Consider the following 22,261-nt stretch of genomic DNA (forward strand, 5'->3'; position numbering starts at 1 on the left):
TTGGAAGTTCCGGCCAGGGCAATCAGGCAGGAGAAGGAAATAAAGGGTATTCAATTAGGAAAAGAGGAAGTCAAATTGTCCCTGTTTGCAGATGACATGATTGTATATCTAGAAAACCCCATCATCTCAGCCCAAAATCTCCTTAAGCTGATAAGCAACTTCAGCAAAGTCTCAGGATACAAAATCAATGTGCAAAAATCACAAGCATTCTTATACACCAATAATAGACAAACAGAGAGCCAAATCATGAGTGAACTCCCATTCACAATTGCTTCAAAGAGAATAAAATACCTAGGAATCCAAGTTACAAGGGATGTGTAGGATCTGTTTAAGGAGAACTACAAACCACTGCTCAACAAAATGAAAGAGGACACAAGCAAATGGAAGAATATTCCATGCTCATGGATAGGAAGAATCAGTATCGTGAAAATGGCCATACTGCCCAAGGTAATTTATAGATTCAATGCCATCCTCATCAAGCTACGAATGATTTTCTTCACAGAATTGGAAAAACCTACTTTAGAGTTTATATGGAACCAAAAAAGAGCCTGCATTGCCAAGTCAACCCTAAGCCAAAAGAACAAAGCTGGAGGCATCACACTATCTGACTTCAAACTATACTACAAGGCTACAGTAACCAAAACAGCATGGTACTGGTACCAAAACAGAGATATAGACCAATGGAACAGAACAAAGCCCTCAGAAATAATACCACACATCTACAACCTTCTGATCTTTGACAAATCTGACAAAAACAAGAAACGGGGAAAGGATTCCCTATTTAACAAATGGTGATGGGAAAACTGGCTAGCCATATGTAGAAAGCTGAAACTGGATCCCTTCCTTACACCTTATACAAAAATTAATTCAAGATGGATTAAAGACTTAAACGTTAGACCTAAAACCATAAAAACCCTAGAAGAAAATCTAGGCAATACCATTCAGGACATAGGCATAGGCAAGGACTTCATGTCTAAAACACCAAAAGCAAGGGCAACAAAAGCCAAAATTGACAAATGGGATCTAATTAAACTAAAGAGCTTCTGCACTCAAAAAAACTACCATGAGAGTGAACAGGCAACTTACAGAATGGGAGAAAATTTTTGCAATCTACTCATCTGACAAAGGGCTAATATCCAGAATCTACAAAGAACTCAAACAAATTCATAAGAAAGCAACAAACAACCCCATCAAAAAGTGGCAAAGGATATGTACAGAGACTTCTCAAAAGAAGACATTTATGCAGCCAACAGACACATGAAAAAATGCTCATCATCACTGGCCATCAGAGAAATGGATATCAAAACCACAATGAGATAATCATCTCACACCAGTTAGAACTGCGATCATTAAAAAGTCAGGAAACAACAGGTGCTGGAGAGGATGTGGAGAAATAGGAACACTTTTACACTGTTGGTGGGACTGTAAACTAGTTCAACCATTATGGAAGACAGTGTGGCGATTCCTCAGGGATCTAGAACTAGAAATACCATTTGACTCAGCCATCCCATTACTGGGTATATATCCAAAGCAATATAAATCATGTTGCTATAAAGACACATGCACACGTATGTTTATTGTGGCACTACTCACAATAGCAAATACTTGGAACGAACCGAAATGTCCAACAATGATAGACTGGATTAAGAAAATGTGGCAAATATACACCGTAGAATACTATGCAGCCATAAAAAATGATGAGTTCATGTCCTTTGTAGGGACATAGATGAAGCTGGAAACCATCATTCTCAGCAAACTAAAGGAAGCAAGAACAAAAAACCTAACACCGCATGTTCTCACTCATAGGCGGGAATTGAACAATGAGAACACTTGGACACAGGAAGGGGAACATCACACACCAGGGCCTGTTGTGGGGTGGGGAGAAGGGGGAGGGATAGCATTAGGAGATATACCTAATGTAAATGACGAGTTAATGGGTGCAGCACACCAACATGGCACATGTATATATATGTAACAAACCTGCACATTGTGCACATGTACCCTAGAACTTAAGGTGTAATAAAAAATATATATATAAATAATAATAAAAAAATAAAGACCAGTAAATCCTACATCAATGGTCTGGGGCTTTATTATACCCACTTGAGACATAGTTGCCTGGAAAAGAAATTTCGTTTATAAAGAAAAAGCTCCCTATGGCAGAAACATGGGGAAAAAATAAATTTTTCTGACTTATTATTAAAGAGAATAACTGATTACTTGTAGTTTAGAAATACGCTTATGAAAAGAGAAAGCCACATAAGTCTATGGAGTCAATTTTCCTACCTAAGTAGCTTCTGCTTTAGCTCTGAGAATATAGTTTTAATGTAATAATAACATGCCAATTTTTTCCTTACGGGAAAAAAAATAAAATGCTAAGCTTAAAGAAACTTAAAAATTATATAATCCTAAATATTAATAAATGAAGAAACACGCCAAACAATTAAACAAGCTTCTATTTTGCCAGATATTTGGATATTTTTTATTTAGGTCACTATACTGGATAGCAAAATTCTGATAAGAAAATATATCCTGCCTAGATTTATGTGATAATCAAAATTATGTATGATTTACTAAAACCATCATTCTTTTCATGCTTTCAGATACATTAAGATTTACATAATTTTATTCTACAGCACAATAAATTGATTATATGACCCTTAATTTTGATCCAGTCTTTTTGAGAGCATAAATAAAGGCTTTTAAGGTCATCAAATCTTGGTAAGAATCACCTGGGGAACTTATTAAACTCATAGATGGTTAGCTTCAGTAGATCCTGGTAGAGCTCAAATATTTGCATGATTAGCAGACTCTTGACACATGTAATCTACTTACCACACATTAGTATACTTCAATGAGAAACACCTCCAAAAGGTACGAATATTGAAAAACCTTAATCATAATAGAATGTGGTTCAACAAAAAGAAAACTGTACAGAGAGGTCATGGGAAGTTTAATTTAAAATTAAACATATTTGTAAAATAGCTTCCTAACAAATTTAACTAAGCAAAAACACTTCATTAGGAAGTAAATTAAGAAATAAAACTGTATGCATACAAAATTATAAAGATACAATTCCAGTTAATTACATTACAAGTATCTCAGAATGCATGATCTCAAAGTTAATGCAATCCATGGAGATATCCGTAAAAGTATACAGACCAGATTCAGATAGCGGTGCCACTGAGTATGTGGGCTTTGCAGATTATATTTATGTTGTATATGCTATAGTGTTTATTGTGGGATTTATGTGTTAAAAGAAATTTAGGATAAATGGATTAAGTGATTTAAAAAATGGACCATAGGAATAGTACAGGTGTCTTCAAACACTCAAAAACATTCATGAGGGAAACACAGAAACCATATAAAATGTTCCAGAGGACTAGAAAAATTAAAGAAAGTTATAAGGAAGGGAATTGTGTAATATAAATAGCCTTCAGCAATTAGAGCAATCCAGTAAAGAAAATCATATAAAAATATTTACAAAAATGAAGACAAGGTGATTTTTAAGTAGCCAGAATATTATGAAAGCAGGAAATTAACATGGCTTAAAAAATTTCCCAACATATTAAAGGCTGTAAAATACATATAAAACACCAGGATAAAGGTGACATAGTGCCTAATCTCTACTTAAACCTTTTAGAAATTAAAACAGAAAGTTAAACATGCTGTCCCAGATATTACGTTCTTTCAGGCAAGAATTATTTATTTCCAGTATATAGCTTATTACCCAGCAGAAAGCAGACACATCATAGATATTTCAAAGTCTAAATCTAGGTAAACTGGTAAATGCTAAGGGAGAGAAAGGAGTTAAGGAAGAATTAAAATCTGGTACTACGAATGACATAAGTGATTGTTTTCTTACACTGTAGCTTCCCAACGTGTGCTCTAGAGAGTGCTTCTCCAATTTTAACGGGCAAGTAATCAATAAGATTATTGTCAAAAATTCAGATTCTGATTCAAAGGCTTGAAAGTCTGTATATCTAAAAAACACCCAAGTGATGCTGATTATTCTGATCCTTGGACTACGTTCTGAGAAGTAAAGCTTGGACAACTAGGATTCAGCTAGGCTTTTTTCTTAAAAAGGTAAAGTGAGTCAACCAAATCATGATATATTCTGATTTAGTGCATCCAAGGAGGGGCATAAAAACCTACATTTTAAACACAAAGTGATTTTCTATGAATTCTAAAACTAGAGAAGCATTGGCTCATAAAAAAGGGCTGGGAGGAAGCTTTGGAAATGGGTTTGCAAACTATAAACAAGCTTCTTCACACAGAGTCCCAGGAGCTTTTCACTTTAAGAAATACCCTTGATGTTAATTTTCAAAGGATTTCATATGAATAAAAATGTTAAGCAATGAGATTGCAAAAAGATTAGCTCAGGTCCCTCAACCCCCCTGGTGATGGCCCTAAGCCATTAAAAATAAGTTAAGTGGTAGAAATGGAGTGGAAATAAGTTTCAAATCCTCAGAAAGCAAAGAGGTTAATTACCAGGGTTAGTCTAGGACCCAGAACTGTGTATCTCCTATTCAATACTTTCGTTAATGATCTGGAAAGAAGGTGAAGTTTCAAAATTTATAAAAAATAATTATTTTAATTTTCTTGAGATTAGGGAAATTGGTTGAATTCCAAAAAAACCTAACAATATGAGGTAATTAAGAAACACAAAGGTTGATAAAATCCATTTAAAATATGTAAAGGCAAAGCACATTTGAAAAATAAATTTAAATTACTCATACACATTGATGAGCTCTGCACTAAATGTAATTTTCTCAGGAATAAGATTTATGTATCTCTTTGTGCAATTCCATGAAGACATTTGTTCACTACCTAGAGGCAATAAAAATGGAATGAGGTGTTAAGCCATATTAAAAGAGGCCAGAAGTAGGACACACATAGTTTAATACCTCAATTTTGAATCAATAATATCTTCTTATCTTAAATATAATACTAAGGTGGTCAACTTAGTCATCTCATCTTTAGGAGGCTATATAGAAAAAAATAGAGAACCAGAAAAGCAATGAGAACTACTACACTCATAAGGAAAATGAGGCATACTTTATGATAAAAAGACTGAAGGGCACATTTAGTTGAAAAAGGGAAAATTAAAAAGAAAATGTAATTATATATAAAATAATGAATACTAATGACAAAACCAATTGAGCACTTTAATTTACCTACATTTCTAAAGGCCATTTTCTAATAATAGAAAAAAAAATCCAATTATATTAGAAAGTAGACAGATATTACAGATAAAGAGTATATTGGTTCTTAACAATGCTTTTCCATGAAAAATCCATTGTAAAGGGTATTATACTATCAAGGTAAATAAAATGACAGAATAAGATTGGCAGACATTGTTTAAAAATAATGACCTATAGTGATAGCTGAAGATGCTATAGAGTATATTCAGTAATCTGATAAGTTAGAAGTAGGAAGATAAATTTTTCTTTGTTACTATACTTCACAGAATAGAGTAGAAAAAGAAAATGGAGAAAGAAAAACCTTGCTGTATTCAACCTGACAAGCAGAATGGATCTAATTATTTGCATCCAATGTTGCTAAAAAACACTTTTAAAAATTCATGAACCAAATCTTATAAAGGAAATAGATTTAAAATTAAATAGATATCATTGAAAAGCTGAAATCAAGATATGATAATCACTAATTAAGTAATACATACTGTATGCCAATAACTGCTAGATACTGAAACTAAACTGATGAACAGAAAAGCTCTTGTTCTTGACTTCATCAAGCCAACTTCACTGGCAGTCATACTACAATGTGAGAAGTGAAACAACAGAGGAAGCATATGAGTATATGATGCAATAAATATAGAAGAGACATATAATCCAAATTTAGGGCATTATGTAAAGCTTTCTGGAATACCTGATTCCTAATATAGGTTTTTTTAAAAAAAATATTTTTCAAGTGAAGGGCAAGAGTTAGAAGAGCTAGAAGCAGTTGCATGTGTAGATTCTTACAAATGAAAGAAGTTCAATACGTACGAACTAAAAATGAAAAGGGTAAAAGGGCTAGAGAGATAAACCAAGGCCCAGTCATCATGCCATAATAAGGAGTTGGACGTTATTGTGAGAAAGACGAGAAACTTTTTTTTTTTTTTTTGAGACAGAGTCTCGCTCTGTCGCCCAGGCTGGAGTGCCATGGCACGATCTCGGCTCACTGCAAGCTCCGCCTCCTGGGTTCACACCATTCTCCTGCCTCAGCCCCCTGAATAGCTGAGACTACAGAAGCCCGCCACCACATCTGGCTAATTTCTTGTATTTTTAGTAGAGACGGGGTTTCACCGTGTTAGCCAGGATGGTCTCAATCTCCTGACCTTGTGATTCACCCGCCTCGGCCTCCCAAAGTGCTGGGATTACAGGCGTGAGCCACCGCGCCCGGCCTTTTAAATGGCTTTAAATCAGTAGATGCATATTTTTAAACTTTAATTTTAGAAAGTACTCTGCCTGCAACGTGAAACATAGACTGAAGGTGGGTGATGCGGAGAAAGACTGAAGGCTGCTGGGAGTTTATAAAGATCAGGTAGGTGATTATGGGTAAGGTGTTGACGTTGAGGATAGATAGAAGCAGACAAACTAGAGAAATGTTTACTAGGTGGATTAACAATTGATTGAATAGGAGAGTTGGTAGTGAGGATAAAGCATTCCAAGTGATGTGTCCAGGCAGTTAAATTTGTCATACTCTAATTCGAGGAAGGGAGCTCTATTGAACATAAAGATTTAGCTGTATAAAGAGAAACATGAGCCGGGCATGGTCGCTCATGCCTGTAATCCCAGCACTTCGGGAGGCTGAGGCAGGCGGAACACCTGAGGTCGGGAGTTCACGACCAGCCTGACCAACGTGGAGAAACCCTCTCTCTACTAAAAATATAAAATTAGCCGGGCGTGGTGGCGCATGCCTGTAATCCCAGCTACTCGGGAGGCTGAGGCAGGAGAGTCGCTTGAACCCTCGAGGCGGAGATTGTGGTGAGCCAAGATCACGCCATTGCACTCCAGCCTGGGCAACAAGAGTGAAACTCTGTCTCAAAACAAAACAAAACAAAACAAAATACATGAGTAGTCTGCACAGACTCCTCGTGAAAATGAAAAGAGTAGGGAGCCTAGAAAAGAGCTCTCTGGGAGATATCAACTTTTTTAGTATGAAGTGGAGAAGAAAACTAAGAAAAAACAGGCAGATAGATAGAAGAAAAATCAGCTGAGTGTGCTACTGATGTCATGAAAGCTGAAACAAAAAACGAAACAAAACAAAAAATGGAGCATCAGCATTGCCAATTATAGAGTCAGGTAGTGAAGTAAGTCATTGTCTCTCCACCAGAATGTCAGCTCCATCAGTCAGTTATTTAGTCTGCCTTGTTCACAACTACATTCCCAGTGCTTGGGACCAAGCCAAAGAGAGTAAGCATTTACTTAGTATGAAATAATAAACTTAGTATGAAATAATAATAGTATGAAATAATAAAACATCATTATTTAATTAATCATTTATTTGGAGTCTATATTTTAAATTGATTTAGTTCTTGAATTCTTTTCTTTTTATTCTTGAATTCTTGCTATAATAGTAATACAATTTTTGCAAAGGAAACTGATTTATGTAGTTGTTTAGAATTTGAAAATACTTTTTGTTTCTAAACAGAAAAAAGACACTTTGCAAATTCTGATGATACTACTAAAAGATACACAAGGTATGTTAGAGAAAATTTCATATTTTTATTTACAATTTCTGACATTGCGCTATACTTAACTATTGACAATTTTATTTTAAAATATCCATGTATTAAAATTGCCCTACTATACCAGATTATAAAAAGTATTTTTTAATACCTGAAAACTCATTTTTATTGTGATATTTTATTATGGTTTAAACTATATCCACCACAATAATGTTGAATGAGAACTTCTGAGATATCTAACATATCATTGTACTCAGCCTACGAAATGGAATAAAATGAGTTCAGACATGGTATTGAATGACTTTTGTGGTGAACAGATCAGAGTACCAGTTTCATCAGTGCTATTTACCAACTTGTGGCCTTCAAATGTTATTTAGCCCAGCTTAATCTCAATGTCTCCATCTGCAGTTAGGATAAGGTATACATTACACCATTGTTGTGAAAATTAAATAAAATAATATTTCATACATATATTTAATTCTCTAGCCTGTTGCCTAGACCTAGTTAAAACTAAATGAGTGTTTAAAGAAAATGTAAATTTTCTCTGACTTGCTCAAAATTAGTTTCACTATATCTAAGTCTTTCACTTTCATAGTCACTCTAAAATATTATGTTTTCCCTTGCCATAATTAGCTTTTGAGGCCTGTAAATAGATTTGGAGTGCAAATGCCTAGATTCAAGTCCTGAGATGTCTCTAATTAGTATATGTAGGGGTGATGAGTTGAACTATGGCTTCCCAAAAGATACATTCCCCCAGAACCTGTGAAATCGGCCTTATTTGGAAAAAGGGTCTTTGCAGGTATAATTCAGGTGAGCATTTCAAGAAGAAATGACGCTTGATTAGGGTGGCCCCTGAATCTAACAATAAGTTCCTTATAAAGAGAAGAAGGGCAACTACAGAGAAGAAGGTCATGTAAAGATGGAAGCAGAGACTGGAGTTATGTTTCCATAAATCAAGGAATTCTGGAAGCCACCAGAAATTGGAAAAAGACAGAGCTCCTCTAGAGCACTGAGAGACAGTGTGACCCTGCTGACACCTTGATCTTGTACTTTTGGCCTCCAGAACTGTTAAAGAAAATATTTCTGTTGTTTGAAGCTATCAAGTTTCAGGTATAATTTATTAAAGAATCCCTAGGAAACTAATACAGTATATTTATGACTTTGAATAAGCCATCTAAGCTATATGAGCTTCAATTTTATTCTGAATAAAATAATAAAATTATATCTTGTCACATTTAATATCAATTAAATAAAAAGATGTATATTAAAGTATTTTTAACTATAAACTAGCACTTCATAGTTCAAAAGTTAAAAGATGTATATAAAAATACTTTTATCTTGCTTTATCTCCCTTCTAAATGATACTTTTAAATGAAAAGATGTGTACGAAAGTATTTTTAACTATGAAGTGCTCCTCACTACTAAAGATTTATTATGTTGTCTGATCTGTGGTATGAGGTCTTAAAAGTATTTTGTATAGAAGGATATGTATAAATGAAGAAAAATAGTGTCTTAATGTTTGTAATCTAGTAGGGCAAAGATATAATGTACCTAACAAATAAGTGAAGAAAAGAATCAAGAAACACAAAAAAATATTTAGAGTAATACATTATAATCTTGTAAGTAAATTCAGTGGCATGTGTGGAGTGAAAAAGGATACGGGGAAGAGTGGTTTGGGCTTATAATACGGAATAGCCTAGTTTAGAAAAATCTTATGCTAGTTCTACATATATTTACTACCTTGTATGGAATATTATAACACTGTTAGTTTTAATTACCTATGTTATTAAGATTATTTACTATAACTGTGTCCAGAATTGGTTCCTTCCGGTGGGTTCTTGGTCTCGCTAACTTCAAGAATGAAGCTGCGGACCCTTGTGGTGAGTATTACAGTTCTTAAAGATGGTGTGTCCAGAGTTTGTTCCTTCAGATGTTCAGATGTGTTCAGAGTTTCTTCCTTCTGGTGGGTTCGTGGTCTCGCTTGACTTCAGGAGTGAAGCCACAGACCTCCGCAGTGAGTGTTACAGCTCTTAAAGGTGGTGCTTCCGGAGTTGTTTTTTCCTCCCGGTGGGTTTGTGGTCTTGCTGACTTCAGGAGTGAAGCTGTAGACCTTCACAGTTAGTGTTACAGCTCATAAAGGTAGTGCAGACCCAAAGAGTGAGCAGCAGCAAGATGTATTGCGAAGAAGGAAAGAACAAACCTTCCACACGTGGAAGGGGACCCCATTGGGTTGCCGCTGTGGGCTCAGGTGGCCAGCTTTTATTCCCTTATTTGGCTCTGCCCACATCCTGCTGATTGGTCCATTTTACAGAGTGCTGATTGGTCCGTTTTTACAGAGTGCTGATTGGTGCGTTTACAAACCTTTAGCTAGACATAGAGCACTGATTGGTGCATTTACAATCCTTCAGCTAGACAGAAAAGTTCTCCAAGTCCCCACCTGACCCAGGAAGCCCAGCTGGCTTCACCTCTCATAAAGACTACAGAGAAAAATAGAGTATCTCATGATTTCTAAAAGAGAAGTCAGTATAATTAAAAATTAATAAGCCTCCAAGAAAAAAAGAAAATAAGCATCCAAATACTTCTGTAATTGTCAAATAAAAGTAGTAACTAAAGATATTTTGAAACTGAGTAATGTGTACAAAGCTCTATCTATATGAAATAGGGCTTTCAGTTTACTCAGATCATTCACACAACTAAATACAACATTATGCCATTTCTGATAGATTTTACTTAAAACTTCTTCTGAGAATGTGGCTTCATAATTACTTCTCATCAACATCATCTTCTGTTGATCAGATTGAATTAGAACAAAAGAAATTTTCATCTCTATTGAATATCAAGGGAAACCTAAATTCTAGTCTCCGCTTTCTAATTGATAACTATATGACTGTAGTTATTATTTTGCAAATTATAATATCAAGATGAGGAGCTCTCGCTCATGTACATAGAAAAAATAACACTTATTATTGCTACAAAAATATTTTTCTAGATCTCTTTGACAATTGTTAAGTATACAGACATTGATTCAGGGAAGCACTCAAGCTGGTACCTAGGACTGGGGGGTGTCTCACATCCTAGTTATGTGCTTATGGGTCCTTAGGTAATGAGATGATACACATAATGCAAAATTCAATGAGGATAAATGTAAAGACACATGCTTTTTAAAAAACACAAATAAAACCTAATACATATCAAAATTAGTTCAGTTCACTTCAAAAAGGGTTGGAGATTGGATTGTCTACAAGTCCTATTAGGGCCAAGAAAATACTGGAAGTGACCAAAAAGATAATCTAATCTTACCTACATAAATAGAAAAAAAACATATTGTATAGCCAATATTCAAATCAAGACAGATTTGTATTTCATTCTATTCGGTATATCTCTGACCATATCAGGGAGAACATGGGCAAACTATTTCACCTCCTTTTGCCTCAGTTTTTTATTTATAAAATATGTATAATAAAGGAACTTACAACATAAAGTTGTTGTGAGAAGTGAGTAAATATATGAAAAACATAATAGTTCTTACATAGGATAAGTGCCAAAAAAGTGTTTATAAAATAAAAAATTATATTAGCAATTAGAATCATGATGGGTCTAGAAATTTATGGGACAGTAAGTAATTTTTCTAGCTAATTGGTGCTCACTTCTGTCCCTTCTTTGCCATGTTTTCATCAGGTTTAATTCTAATTTCTAAGTAATACTTTTTAGAACTAGATATCATATCATATTTGATAATTTTCAATTACCAAAATGTGATTCTTCTGCTGCTAAATTCTTTTCAGAAAAGGTAAGCCTAAAAAATGAATTGAATATATATGCTAGAGGACACACAAAACATATATGTTGAAATTTGAAATATTTGTATAATTTTAATTTTTAAAATCCAAGAAAACTATACACTGAAGTGTAATACTTTTGATGGCAAACTCTAATGTAAAGAAAAAAATGAAAGATATTGAGTTTACAGATACAAATACTAACTGTGGAGCAAATACAAGAACACTTTTTTCAAGTTCTCAATGCATCCGAGCAGTTATTTTCCACGATACTAGTAGTTCAGTGAAATCATTTTATTTGACATTACTAATACTAGGCCCTGAGTCCTGAGAAAGATCAAGCCATGTTATTTGTTTTAAAGCAAATCAAACCAGATTGGTAGTCTTAACACTTAATCACTTTCTATTAGAGTAATAACTTGCAATCACAAGACTCTTTTCCATGGATCCTTTTTTCTGAATAATCTACACCCATTATAGAAGGAGATGGCAATGTTCCTCTTTATAGTTCTCAAGTACATCTCTAATTTTCTCTACTATGGTAGCAGTTAATGGCTTACATTCTATTTCTTTATGACATGAATGTTAATAGCAAGGATCTGGGAGATAAGTGGCTAAACTGCAATGAGTGGTTTTGTTGAACACATTCCTATTATGGCAGAAAATGAAATTGTTTTTGTTTTTTTCTACTTGCTTTCACATTGGTATATCATGGCCATTTTATTTTTGTTACATAATAATATGTTGCTGCAAAGCTCAGGAAAACAGTCATCAGACTGTTGTAGATGCTATGAGGACAAGTCATCCCTTTTTCATCACTGTTAAATATTACTACATTTCTTCCTGTGAAACTGAGATATAAGTTATGCAAGCAGTTTTATGAATGTAGGCTCTAAATTGTGACAACTGTCAGTGTCTCCTAGGACTGCTTTCACTTAAACACATCATTTATGAGTCTCCTTTTCTATTTCAGATTCTCAGTATCTGCTTATGTTTTAGGTAAAAAAAAGTATTCTAGACATATTGAAAAGAACAGAGGACTGGATGCCACCTAACTGGGGTCAAATTTACTCTGCTTCTCAAGATCTGCAATATCTTAGGAAAATCCTTCTACCTCTCTTGACACATTCTCAACTTGGTAAGACTATTTTGTCTTAGCCCAAGTCTGTCTAACAACAGCAGGCAGCTCTGATTAACTATGGGTATAGCCCTCTCTTTGGTTTGGACTATTCAATCTTTGGATTAGTCTATTCAACAGTATTTGCAAACCGAACCTCATGAGAGTGACAATGATAAGCTGTTTTTCTCAGTATTGGCTCAATCTCATTATCTCAATTTTAAGACTTGATTTATTGAGTCCTGCCATACAGACAGACACTTTAATATATTCAAGTTCAAACTTCAACTCTTTATTTTCTAACAGTTCTAAGGTCTGTATTTAATTTCTTACCGTTATCTTTAACTCTTCTAAAGTGTCATTATAAATAACTTCTGACCTATGTTTCCATTTCCAAACCTATGTTTCCAATTGCTTTAGTTTCATTTTTCTATCCTTTGAGCAGTCCCAGAGAAGTTGGAGTGTTGGACAACAGAGCAACTTCTTCCTCCTCAAAAGAAAGGTGAGAGCTGGGGTTTCTCATCAGCTCACTCTATGCTGAGCAGTGAGTATGACTTATGGCATCTACCAGTACAAATCATCATCTCTACTCTCCCCTTGACAGCTAGACTGTGCCAATCATGTCAGAGGCCCAAACCTGACAAGAAAGAATCCAGTCTTCAGGGGAGTCCCGAACCAAATTCTTCCCTTCTCTGAGAGAGGCTGGAAAATAGGATATCTTTTTCTGATTGTACAGTGTTGTGCCAGGGTAGGCATTCTGGCAGAAGTGTGTCCTGAACCTTCTTTCTGGCTTTGGTGAGTCTGGTTTGCCATCGCCACAGTTGCAGGAGCCTTTCCATTAGGTTACTCTCTCATTTCTCTACTGTTAAATCTAAGCTTCTTGTCTGTCTTATTTTCTAATTCTCTTTCAATGAAGTGATACAATATAGAATTTTCTTGAGCTATAAACAACATTCATATCTAAGCCTATGTTTTCTAAACTTCAGGAATGGAAAAGGAAGAGTATAAAACTCCAATGATAATACTATTAATACTATAAATAGTTATGCTACCCAACATCTGTTTTTAATGATTTTGTCACTTTTGCTTTGAATAGGTGTGGTTGCAAACTGTCTTGAACTTCATTTCATCTCAACAGAAGACACTGGCTAGTGATGGGGCTCAGAATATGCCACCCTAAAGTATGACTGTAAGAGGCCAGAATATGTCACTTGAAATAGGCCTTTATGGAATAAGAATTATTTTGAGCTGGTTATTTTGAGAAGCTGCAGACACAAAAGAAGCTCTGAAAAGTCACCCTTTTACAAGTAAAATTTACATCTATAAAGTAAATATCCATTTGTGATGGTGTCTCTCTAAAGCAAAAAATCACTAGAGCCTCTTAATCAAAGGAGAAAGCATCAACTTAAATTTTTAAAACATACTTCTCCCTTGTTCTATGGTGCTTTTCTGGCATGCTTGTCTTAACCAGATCTTCCCCCATACCCTTCTTTCTTTGTTTCAGAGAACTATGGTAATTAAGCCTGAAGTATAAGTAAACTCTTTGAAACGTACTCTACATATTTACTCATTTCTTTGGGTTATTTCCCATGTATACAGGAAGTATACATGTAATTCAACCATTTGTTTTTGCCTTGTTAGTCCATCTTATGTTACAGGGAGTCCCAGCAAAGAACTGGGAGGAGAAAATTATTTTTCCTCTCCTATACTGGGTAATGTGATCCTACTGAAGATACCAGTAGGATCTCCTTAAACCTCAATCTGCCTAAGGGGATGAAATTTCTATAAGATTAATTACCATGTTAAGTTTTCTTCCCTGTAAAATAAGATTACTGTAGAAAGAATGATGGTGAGACATCACATTATCTGTCATTAATAACTTAATGCTAATTTTTTAACCTAAAATGTAACTCAGAACAATTATTTATGGTTGTGCTACCATAAGAGTAAGGGGACATAATAATTCCATAGATTAATTTGTAAAATCAACATGTATTGAGTGTTCACTATATGCTAAGCACTCAACATATGCCAAGTCCCACCTAAACAGAAACCCAAAATAGGTAGTATAGAACAGATTGGGAGTAGCATGAAGAAAATAATCTACTAGAAATGGGTAAATACAATAGAAATCTCATCTTTATAAATAGAAGACACAAAGATAAGCTCTTGCTCTGAGTAAGTCATTCTTATCTGCCTGTATCATTCCATCAGCTACATATATTTATCATTCCACAAAGGTATTTATCATTCCACAAAGGTCTTTATCACTCCATAAATGTTTTACCATAACACATATCATTTACCTGAGCATTAGAAGGCATAAAAGAATCTTATCCTGCTTAAGATTTGAGTACAATTTTTAAAACCCCTGAAATGAATGGAGTCATTATTAGGTGTCTCTGAAAATAGCTACTTTGAGTAATAAAAATATTTTTATGGAAGATATAGGTAACATCTCCTACATACATTCGCAGGAATAAAGAGCCTTTGTTGCATAAATATTAGACAAAGCACTCTTCATCTACTAATATATAAGCAAGAAAGTGGTCATTAGAGTAAATGGTGAAGTTACTTAGGTTTACATCAGTAATGCATGGAATTAACCATATTTAATGTTATTGGAGAGGAATGAGCCATCTTCCTAATCATAATCATCTTGATCCAATTCCATCCTTCAGAAATTTTAATTTATCTAACTTATAAGAAAATGTGTTAAAACAAAGGCACTTCACAATATTAGTGCAATGTGCATCAAATGCACTAGAGAAAATTACCTAATACAATTTTCTAAGCCATTTAGTATCATGAACCAGGCACTAAAAGGAGAAAATTGCATTTTATGATTTGGAGGCTGTTGAAAACATCACACACCTGAATTCACACAATCTGCATATTTTTATTCTGTTCTCTCAACAAAAAAACCCAAGTATTTAATAAGCCAGAACACTAACTTGAAGATTTTACTGCATTAAACTAAAATAGAATGATAAAACATCTAGCTCTATTTGAGAAACAAAAAATAACTATAAAAAACTATAATAATTTCTCTCCTATATTTGGAATAAAATTAAAAGTCTCTCCTTGTCTTTATAGTTATTTTTTATAAGATTGAAAGAATAAAAGGATTAAAGTTACTAAATAAGAGGACCAAAGAGAAAAGACCTATATACCAATAGAGTACATTAATTTTCCTTAAAAAATAACCCTGGCCAGGCCTGGTGGCTCATGCCTGTAATCCCAGCACTTTGGGAGCCAAGGCAGGCAGATCAAGAGGTCAAGAGCTCGAGACCATCCTGGTCAACAAGGTGAAACCCTGTCTCTACTACAAATACAAAAATTAGCAGGGCGTGGTGGCACACGCCTGTAGTCCCAGCTACTCAGGAGGCTGAGGCAGGAGAATCACTTGAACCTGGGAGGCGGAGGTTGCAGTGAGCTGAGATCATGCCATTGCACTCCAGCCTGGTGATACAGCGAGACTCCATCAAAAAAAAAACAAAATACTGTCATACCTTCTTAGGAAGTTTGTGCCAGCATAAAACGAAATTGAATAAACTGGATACAGTTACTCATTTAGAAAATTAAAGTTATAAAGGAGGCCTCTTGATTTGTAATTCCCTAGTTAGCAATCAGAGAGAGAGAGAAAGGGAGTCAAAACAGTCCTTGATATTGCCATAATGATAAACAATAAAAGTTTTTCAGAATTTTTTCAAATAAGATGTATAGTATCTATCATTTCTATCTTATCATCATCATGTAGCATACAAAATAGTGAAAATAAAACACTGTGAAGAAAATTATTCCTAAATTTTTGTTGATATCCTGGTACTGCAAACATGGCAGGGTCACATTTCAACTCAGCCACTGAAAAACTGACTCATCTGGCCAAAATGAATGGGATGTAAAACATACCCTTAACCTTAGCATCACAAAAAGAAATAAGGTGGCAGAAAAGACATAAGGGTAGGCACAGATTTCTCAGGCAAGAGAAAGAGCTACAGGGCCAAGCAAATAGACAAAAGTTATTCTTGAGGTTAACAACTAATGCAGGCGGAAAGGATTTTGCAGGGCATATTGGAGCAAAGGAAGCAAAGACTCTGCAGAAATCAATTTATAAAGACTATACTTAAAATGACCTTTCAGCAATTGCATTAGCAGATACTAAGAGTTTCTTGCAAACAGAATAAGGATCCTGAAGTAAGAGATATCAACACCAACGAAGAAAGGCATAGAAACAAGAGCAAAGTGACATACACAAATGAGAAATCCAGATTAAAGCAGAACACAGACTACTTCCTAAGCCAAACGAGCCTTTCCTGCATTTTCTTAACAAGGAATAGTTGTCACTTTACATAAGAACCCTCTGGTATATCTTTCAGAGTGGCTGCATATATCTGTGCCTAATACATCCATATACTCTCATACATACCCTTATGATAAAATACACACAGTAGCATATACAGTGACATTGTATGGATTCAGGTTTTTTCAATAAATATTTAATTAATAAAGTTGAGAATGAATGTGCCAGTCTGGGAAATGTTACTTACTGATTTGTGGACTATATAAATCCTACTTGATAATTAGTAAAAATCTCAGAATGGGGAGGAAACAGTGAAACATAGGTGGTAGGCAGCCTTCTAAGACAGTTTCCTCCCATCTGTATTTACAACCTTCCCCTCCTTGAGTGTGGGCTGGACCTGGTGATTCGCCCTTAAGGAAAAAGGTGAATAGGATCTCACTTCTGAGAATACATTACAAAAAAGCCTGACTTCACTTATTCAAATTCTTTCTGGCTCTTCTTGCTCACTTCCCCTGAAGGAAGCCAGCTGCCTTATTGTATGCTACGCTATAGAGAGATCCACATGGCAAGGAACTGAGGACAACCTCCAGCCAACAGCCAAGGAGAAACTAAAGCTTCAGTCTGACAGCCCGTGTGGAGGTGAATCCTTCCCACTGGAAGTGGCATCCTTTCCCCGCCAAACCTCCATGTGACTGAGCCTAGGAGACACCTAGATTGCAGACTTGCAAAAGACTGAGCCTGATGACACAGCTAAGCTGCACCTAAATTCCCAGACCAAAGAAACTATGAGATAATAAATGTTACTTTAAGCCAAAAAATGTTGGGGTTAACTGTTAAGCAATAACAGATAAATAATACAATATGACTTTTTAAAGAATTTTGTCTTAACAAGGTTTATTTCTCCGTGGTTGTGTCATATAGTCACTAAAGCCTGAGCGAATGCCTGAACAAGTGAAAATTATGCTTTTATTACTCCTATATTTGGAATAAATTTTGTTAAAATGACAAAGAAATAAACTGACTTCCATGAAGTTGTTTTTTAAGTTTTTGCCATAAATTTATGTCACATTATATCAGCAGCCATTTCACCAATGAGATTTCCTTTCTTTTTCTCCTGGGATATCTGTTTAATAAGAATGAGAAAAAAAGGAGGAAAACATCTACTTACAAAAAGAAAAATAATATTCATTATTTAAACATTACCAAAGAATAACGATTCTTACAAAATTAGAAGTTAAATATATAAAATGATATAATCTACTTACATCGATAGAGCTTGTTTTATTACTTCGTTCAAAAATTAATTGTGTTGTGAATATAATCAATATTAATTTTATATCTAAGTCTAGTACTTTTATTTTTTACTTCAAGTAGGTCTGTTGTGCACTTATTTACTTGTAATAGTCTGTTGTCTAGGCCCACACATGTAGCAAACAGCATCAAGTGAGTGAAGGTCAGGCATTCCTATCCTAATAGGATATGGCTTACTTGGTGTTTCTATTTATAGATGAAACTGTTTCAAGTCAAACCTTTCTACAATTCTTTTTGTTCTTTATTTTTCCTCTGAAATTTGCAAAAGCTATTCAGCTTCAATTAATTTCCAGGCTTTTTTGACTACTCTAAAGTATGACTTCACTGACCTTTGTCCTAACTTTCTGATTTCCAGAACATTAGTTATTTTGCACTGATTACTACAGTATATTTAACCTTCAATTCTCTCTTTTCTACTCTGGAGTTTTGACCAATTCAGTTTCAGCTCCTGCCTAAGTTATCTTACCTGTAAGTATTCTATGCTATTTCCAATTCCTAATGTCCTTTTGACAAAAAGATCAAAATATTTTAACCAACACTTCATTACTCAATAACAAATATTTAATAAATATATAGTAAGAGCCTACTGTATGCAAAGCATTTTCAATTCTTTAATTTCCTTGCCTTTTCCTTCTCCAGCCTTCCTCAACTGATGCAAGTCATTTGTCCTCCACAAGTCTCAATCTTTTCTACTTAACAGACAAATCTGAACGGTAGGGTGATCATATTTAAACAGTGTCTGCTCTCATTGATCAGGCCTTAATATCTGATATCCTCCCAGACTACAGATTCCCATGATGACCCTTAGGATAATTTTTATTCCAAAGCAGTGTAGTACAGTGGAAATTGGTCTTGGAGGCAGATGAGTCTGAGTCAAAATTCTTATTCCAACATTTTGGAGTTATGACATCATCGGAAAATTACTCTGTTTCCTAACTATGAAATAGTACCCTTCTCTGCTGAAATATAACTAGGAAAATTGGCTAAATAGAAAATCTAATGTGCTCTGTCATCAATCATATTGTAAAACTTTGGGTACAGCCATAAGACTCTCTCCTTTCCTTTTTGGAGTACTAGAAGTGTCTAGACAAGGGCAAATAAATCTCATTTGAAGAACATGACTGTTTAATGAGACTCCATGCCCTTTAAGAGAGGGAAAGAACTAGGTACTCTTTGTAAATGTAAGGGAATATTTAAAAAGAGAGGGCTTATCAGACACGAGCAATGAAAACATGTTCCTCTTTAACACTGGATTGAAGGAGATGAGTGTCCACTGTTAAAGCCATAGATCTAAATTCTCCTTTTCTCCATTTACCAGAGAAGAGAGAAGTACCCATAGGCAAAAATCAAAGTAAAACAAAACAAAACAATGAGAAAGCATGAATCCAGAGATTCAACATCTGGTAGCATGGAACATTTGTTTCGAAAGAGCCAGTACAACATAGTAAAGAAGATCAGAGACCTATACCCAAGATGTATTCTCAGAAGGTGACAACATGAATGAGTAAAATTGAGGGGAGGGGGGAACGACTCAGAAAAGCAAATCTATAAGGAAATGTGTTTGACTCATTCTTGTCATTAGAAAGAAATGACCCCAATAAACGTACATGTGCATGTGTCTTTATAGCAGCATGATTTATAGTCCTTTGGGTATATACCCAGTAATGGGATGGCCGGGTCAAATGGTATTTCTAGTTCTAGATCCCTGAGGAGTCGCCACACTGACTTCCACAATGGTTGAACTAGTTTACAGTCCCACCAACAGTGTAAAAGTGTTCCTATTTCTCCACATCCTCTCCAGCACCTGTTGTTTCCTGACTTTTTAATGATTGCCATTCTAACTGGTGTGAGATGGTATCTCATTGTGGTTTTGATTTGCATTTCTCTGATGGCCAGTGATGGTGAGCATTTTTTCATGTGTTTTATGGCTGCATAAATGTCTTCTTTTGAGAAGTGTCTGTTCATGTCCTTTGCCCACTTTTTGATGGGGTTGTTTTTTTCTTGTAAATTTGTTTGAGTTCATTGTAGATTCTGGATATTAGTCCTTTGTCAGATAAGTAGTTTGCGAAAATTTTCTCCCATTTTGTAGGCTGCCTGTTCACTCTGATGGTAGTTTCTTTTGCTGTGCAAGAGCTCTTTAGTTTAATTAGATCTCATATGACAATTTTGGCTTTTGTTGCCACTGCTTTTGGTGTTTTAGACATGAAGTCCTTGCCCATGCCTATGTCCTGAATGGTAATGCCTAGGTTTTCTTCTAGGACTTCTATGGTTTAAGGTCTAACATTTAAGTCTTTAATCCATCTTGAATTAATTTTTGTATAAGGGGTAAGGAAGGGATTCAGTTTCAGCATATGGCTAGCCAGTTTTCCCAGCACCATTTATTAAATAGGGAATCCTTTCCCCATTGCTTGTTTTTCTCAGGTTTGTCAAAGATCAGATAGTTGTAGATATGCAGCGTTATTTCTGGGGGCTAAGTTCTGTTCCATTGATCTATATCTCTGTTTTGGTACCAGTACCATGCTGTTTTGGTTATTGTAGCCTTGTAGTATACTTTGAAGTCAGGTAGCGTGATGCCTCCAGCTTTGTTCTTTTGGCTTAGGATTGACTTGGCTATGCGGGCTCTTTTTTGGTTCCATATGAACTTTAAAGTAGTTTTTTCCAATTCTGTGAAGAAAGTCATTGGTAGCTTGATGGGGATGGCATTAAATCTATAAATTACATTGGGCAGCATGGCCATTTTCATGATATTGATTCTTCCTACTCATGAGCATGGAATGTTCTTCCATTTGTTTGTATCCTCTTTTATTTCATTGAGCAGTGGTTTGTAGTTCTCCTTGAAGAGGTCCTTCACGTCCCTCGTAAGGTGGATTCCTAGGTATTTTATTCTCTTTGAAGCAATTGTGAATGGGAGTTCACTCATGATTTGGCTCTCTGTTTGTCTGTTATTGGTGTATAAGAATGCCTGTGATTTTTGCACATTGATTTTGTATCCTGAGACTTTGCTGAAGTTGCTTATCAGCTCAAGGAGATTTTGGGCTGAGAAAATGGGGTTTTCTAGATATACAATCATGTCATCTGCAAACAGGGACAATTAGACTTCCTCTTTTCCTAATTGAATACCCTTTATTTCCTTCTCCTGCCTAATTGCCCTGGCCAGAACTTCCAACACTATGTTGAATAGGAGTGGTGAGGGAGGGCATCCCTGTCTTGTGCCAGTTTTCAAAGGGAATGCTTGCAGTTTTTGCCCATTCAGTATGATATTGGCTGTGGGTTTGTCATAGATAGCTGTTATTATTTTGAGATACTTCCCATCAATACCTAATTTCTTGAGAGTTTTTAGCATGAAGGGTTGTTGAATTTTGTCAAAGGCCTTTTCTGCATCTATTGAGATAATCCTGTGTTTTTTGTCTTTGCTTCTGTTTATATGCTGGATTACATTTATTGATTTGCGTATATTGAACCAGCCTTGCATCCCAGGGATGAAGCCCACTTGATCACGGTGGATAAGCTTTGTGATGTGCTGTGGGATTCGGTTTGCCAATATTTTATCGAGGATTTTTGCATCAATGTTCATCAAGGATATTGGTCTAATATTCTCTTTTTTGGTTGTGTCTCTGCCTGGATTTGGTATCAGGATGATGCTGGCATCATAAAATGAGTTAGGGAGGATTCCCTCTTTTTCTATTGATAGGAATAGTTTCAGAAGGAATGGTACCAGTTCCTCCTTGTACCTCTGGTAGAATTCGGCTGTGAATCCATCTGGTCCTGGACTCTTTTTGTTTGGTAAACTATTGATTATTGCCACAATTTCAGAACCTGTTATTGGTCTATTCAGAGAGGCAACTTCTTCCTGATTTAGTCTTGGGAGGGTGTATGTGTCAAGGAATTTATCCATTTCTTCTAGATTTTCTAGTTTATTTGCATAGAGGTGTTTGTAGTATTCCCTGATGGTAGTTTGTATTTCTGTGGGATCAGTGGTGATATCCCCTTTGTCATTTTTTATTGCGTCTATTTGATTCTTCTGTCTTTTCTTATCAGTCTTGCTAGCGGTCTATCAA

At 35.3% G+C, this 22,261-nt stretch overlaps 1 protein-coding gene across 5 annotated transcripts in view; it reads right to left on the reverse strand.

Annotated features, from left to right (window-relative positions):
• The window catches only part of STPG2 (sperm tail PG-rich repeat containing 2), a 702,228-nt gene that overhangs the window by 99,854 nt on the left and 580,113 nt on the right, over positions 1-22,261 (reverse strand). The window contains exon 11 of one of the 5 annotated variants that reach the window (NM_174952.3): positions 17,770-18,015. The exons of the other annotated variants lie outside the window; for them this stretch is intronic. Within the exon in view, the coding sequence (NP_777612.1) occupies positions 17,956-18,015 (60 nt within the window). The 3' untranslated portion in view covers positions 17,770-17,955. Of the gene's footprint in view, positions 1-17,769; positions 18,016-22,261 lie in introns of those variants that run through there. 5 annotated transcript variants of the gene reach the window in all.

This window comes from Homo sapiens, chromosome 4 (assembly GCF_000001405.40).
Source record: "Homo sapiens chromosome 4, GRCh38.p14 Primary Assembly".
Lineage (NCBI taxonomy): Eukaryota > Metazoa > Chordata > Mammalia > Primates > Hominidae > Homo > Homo sapiens.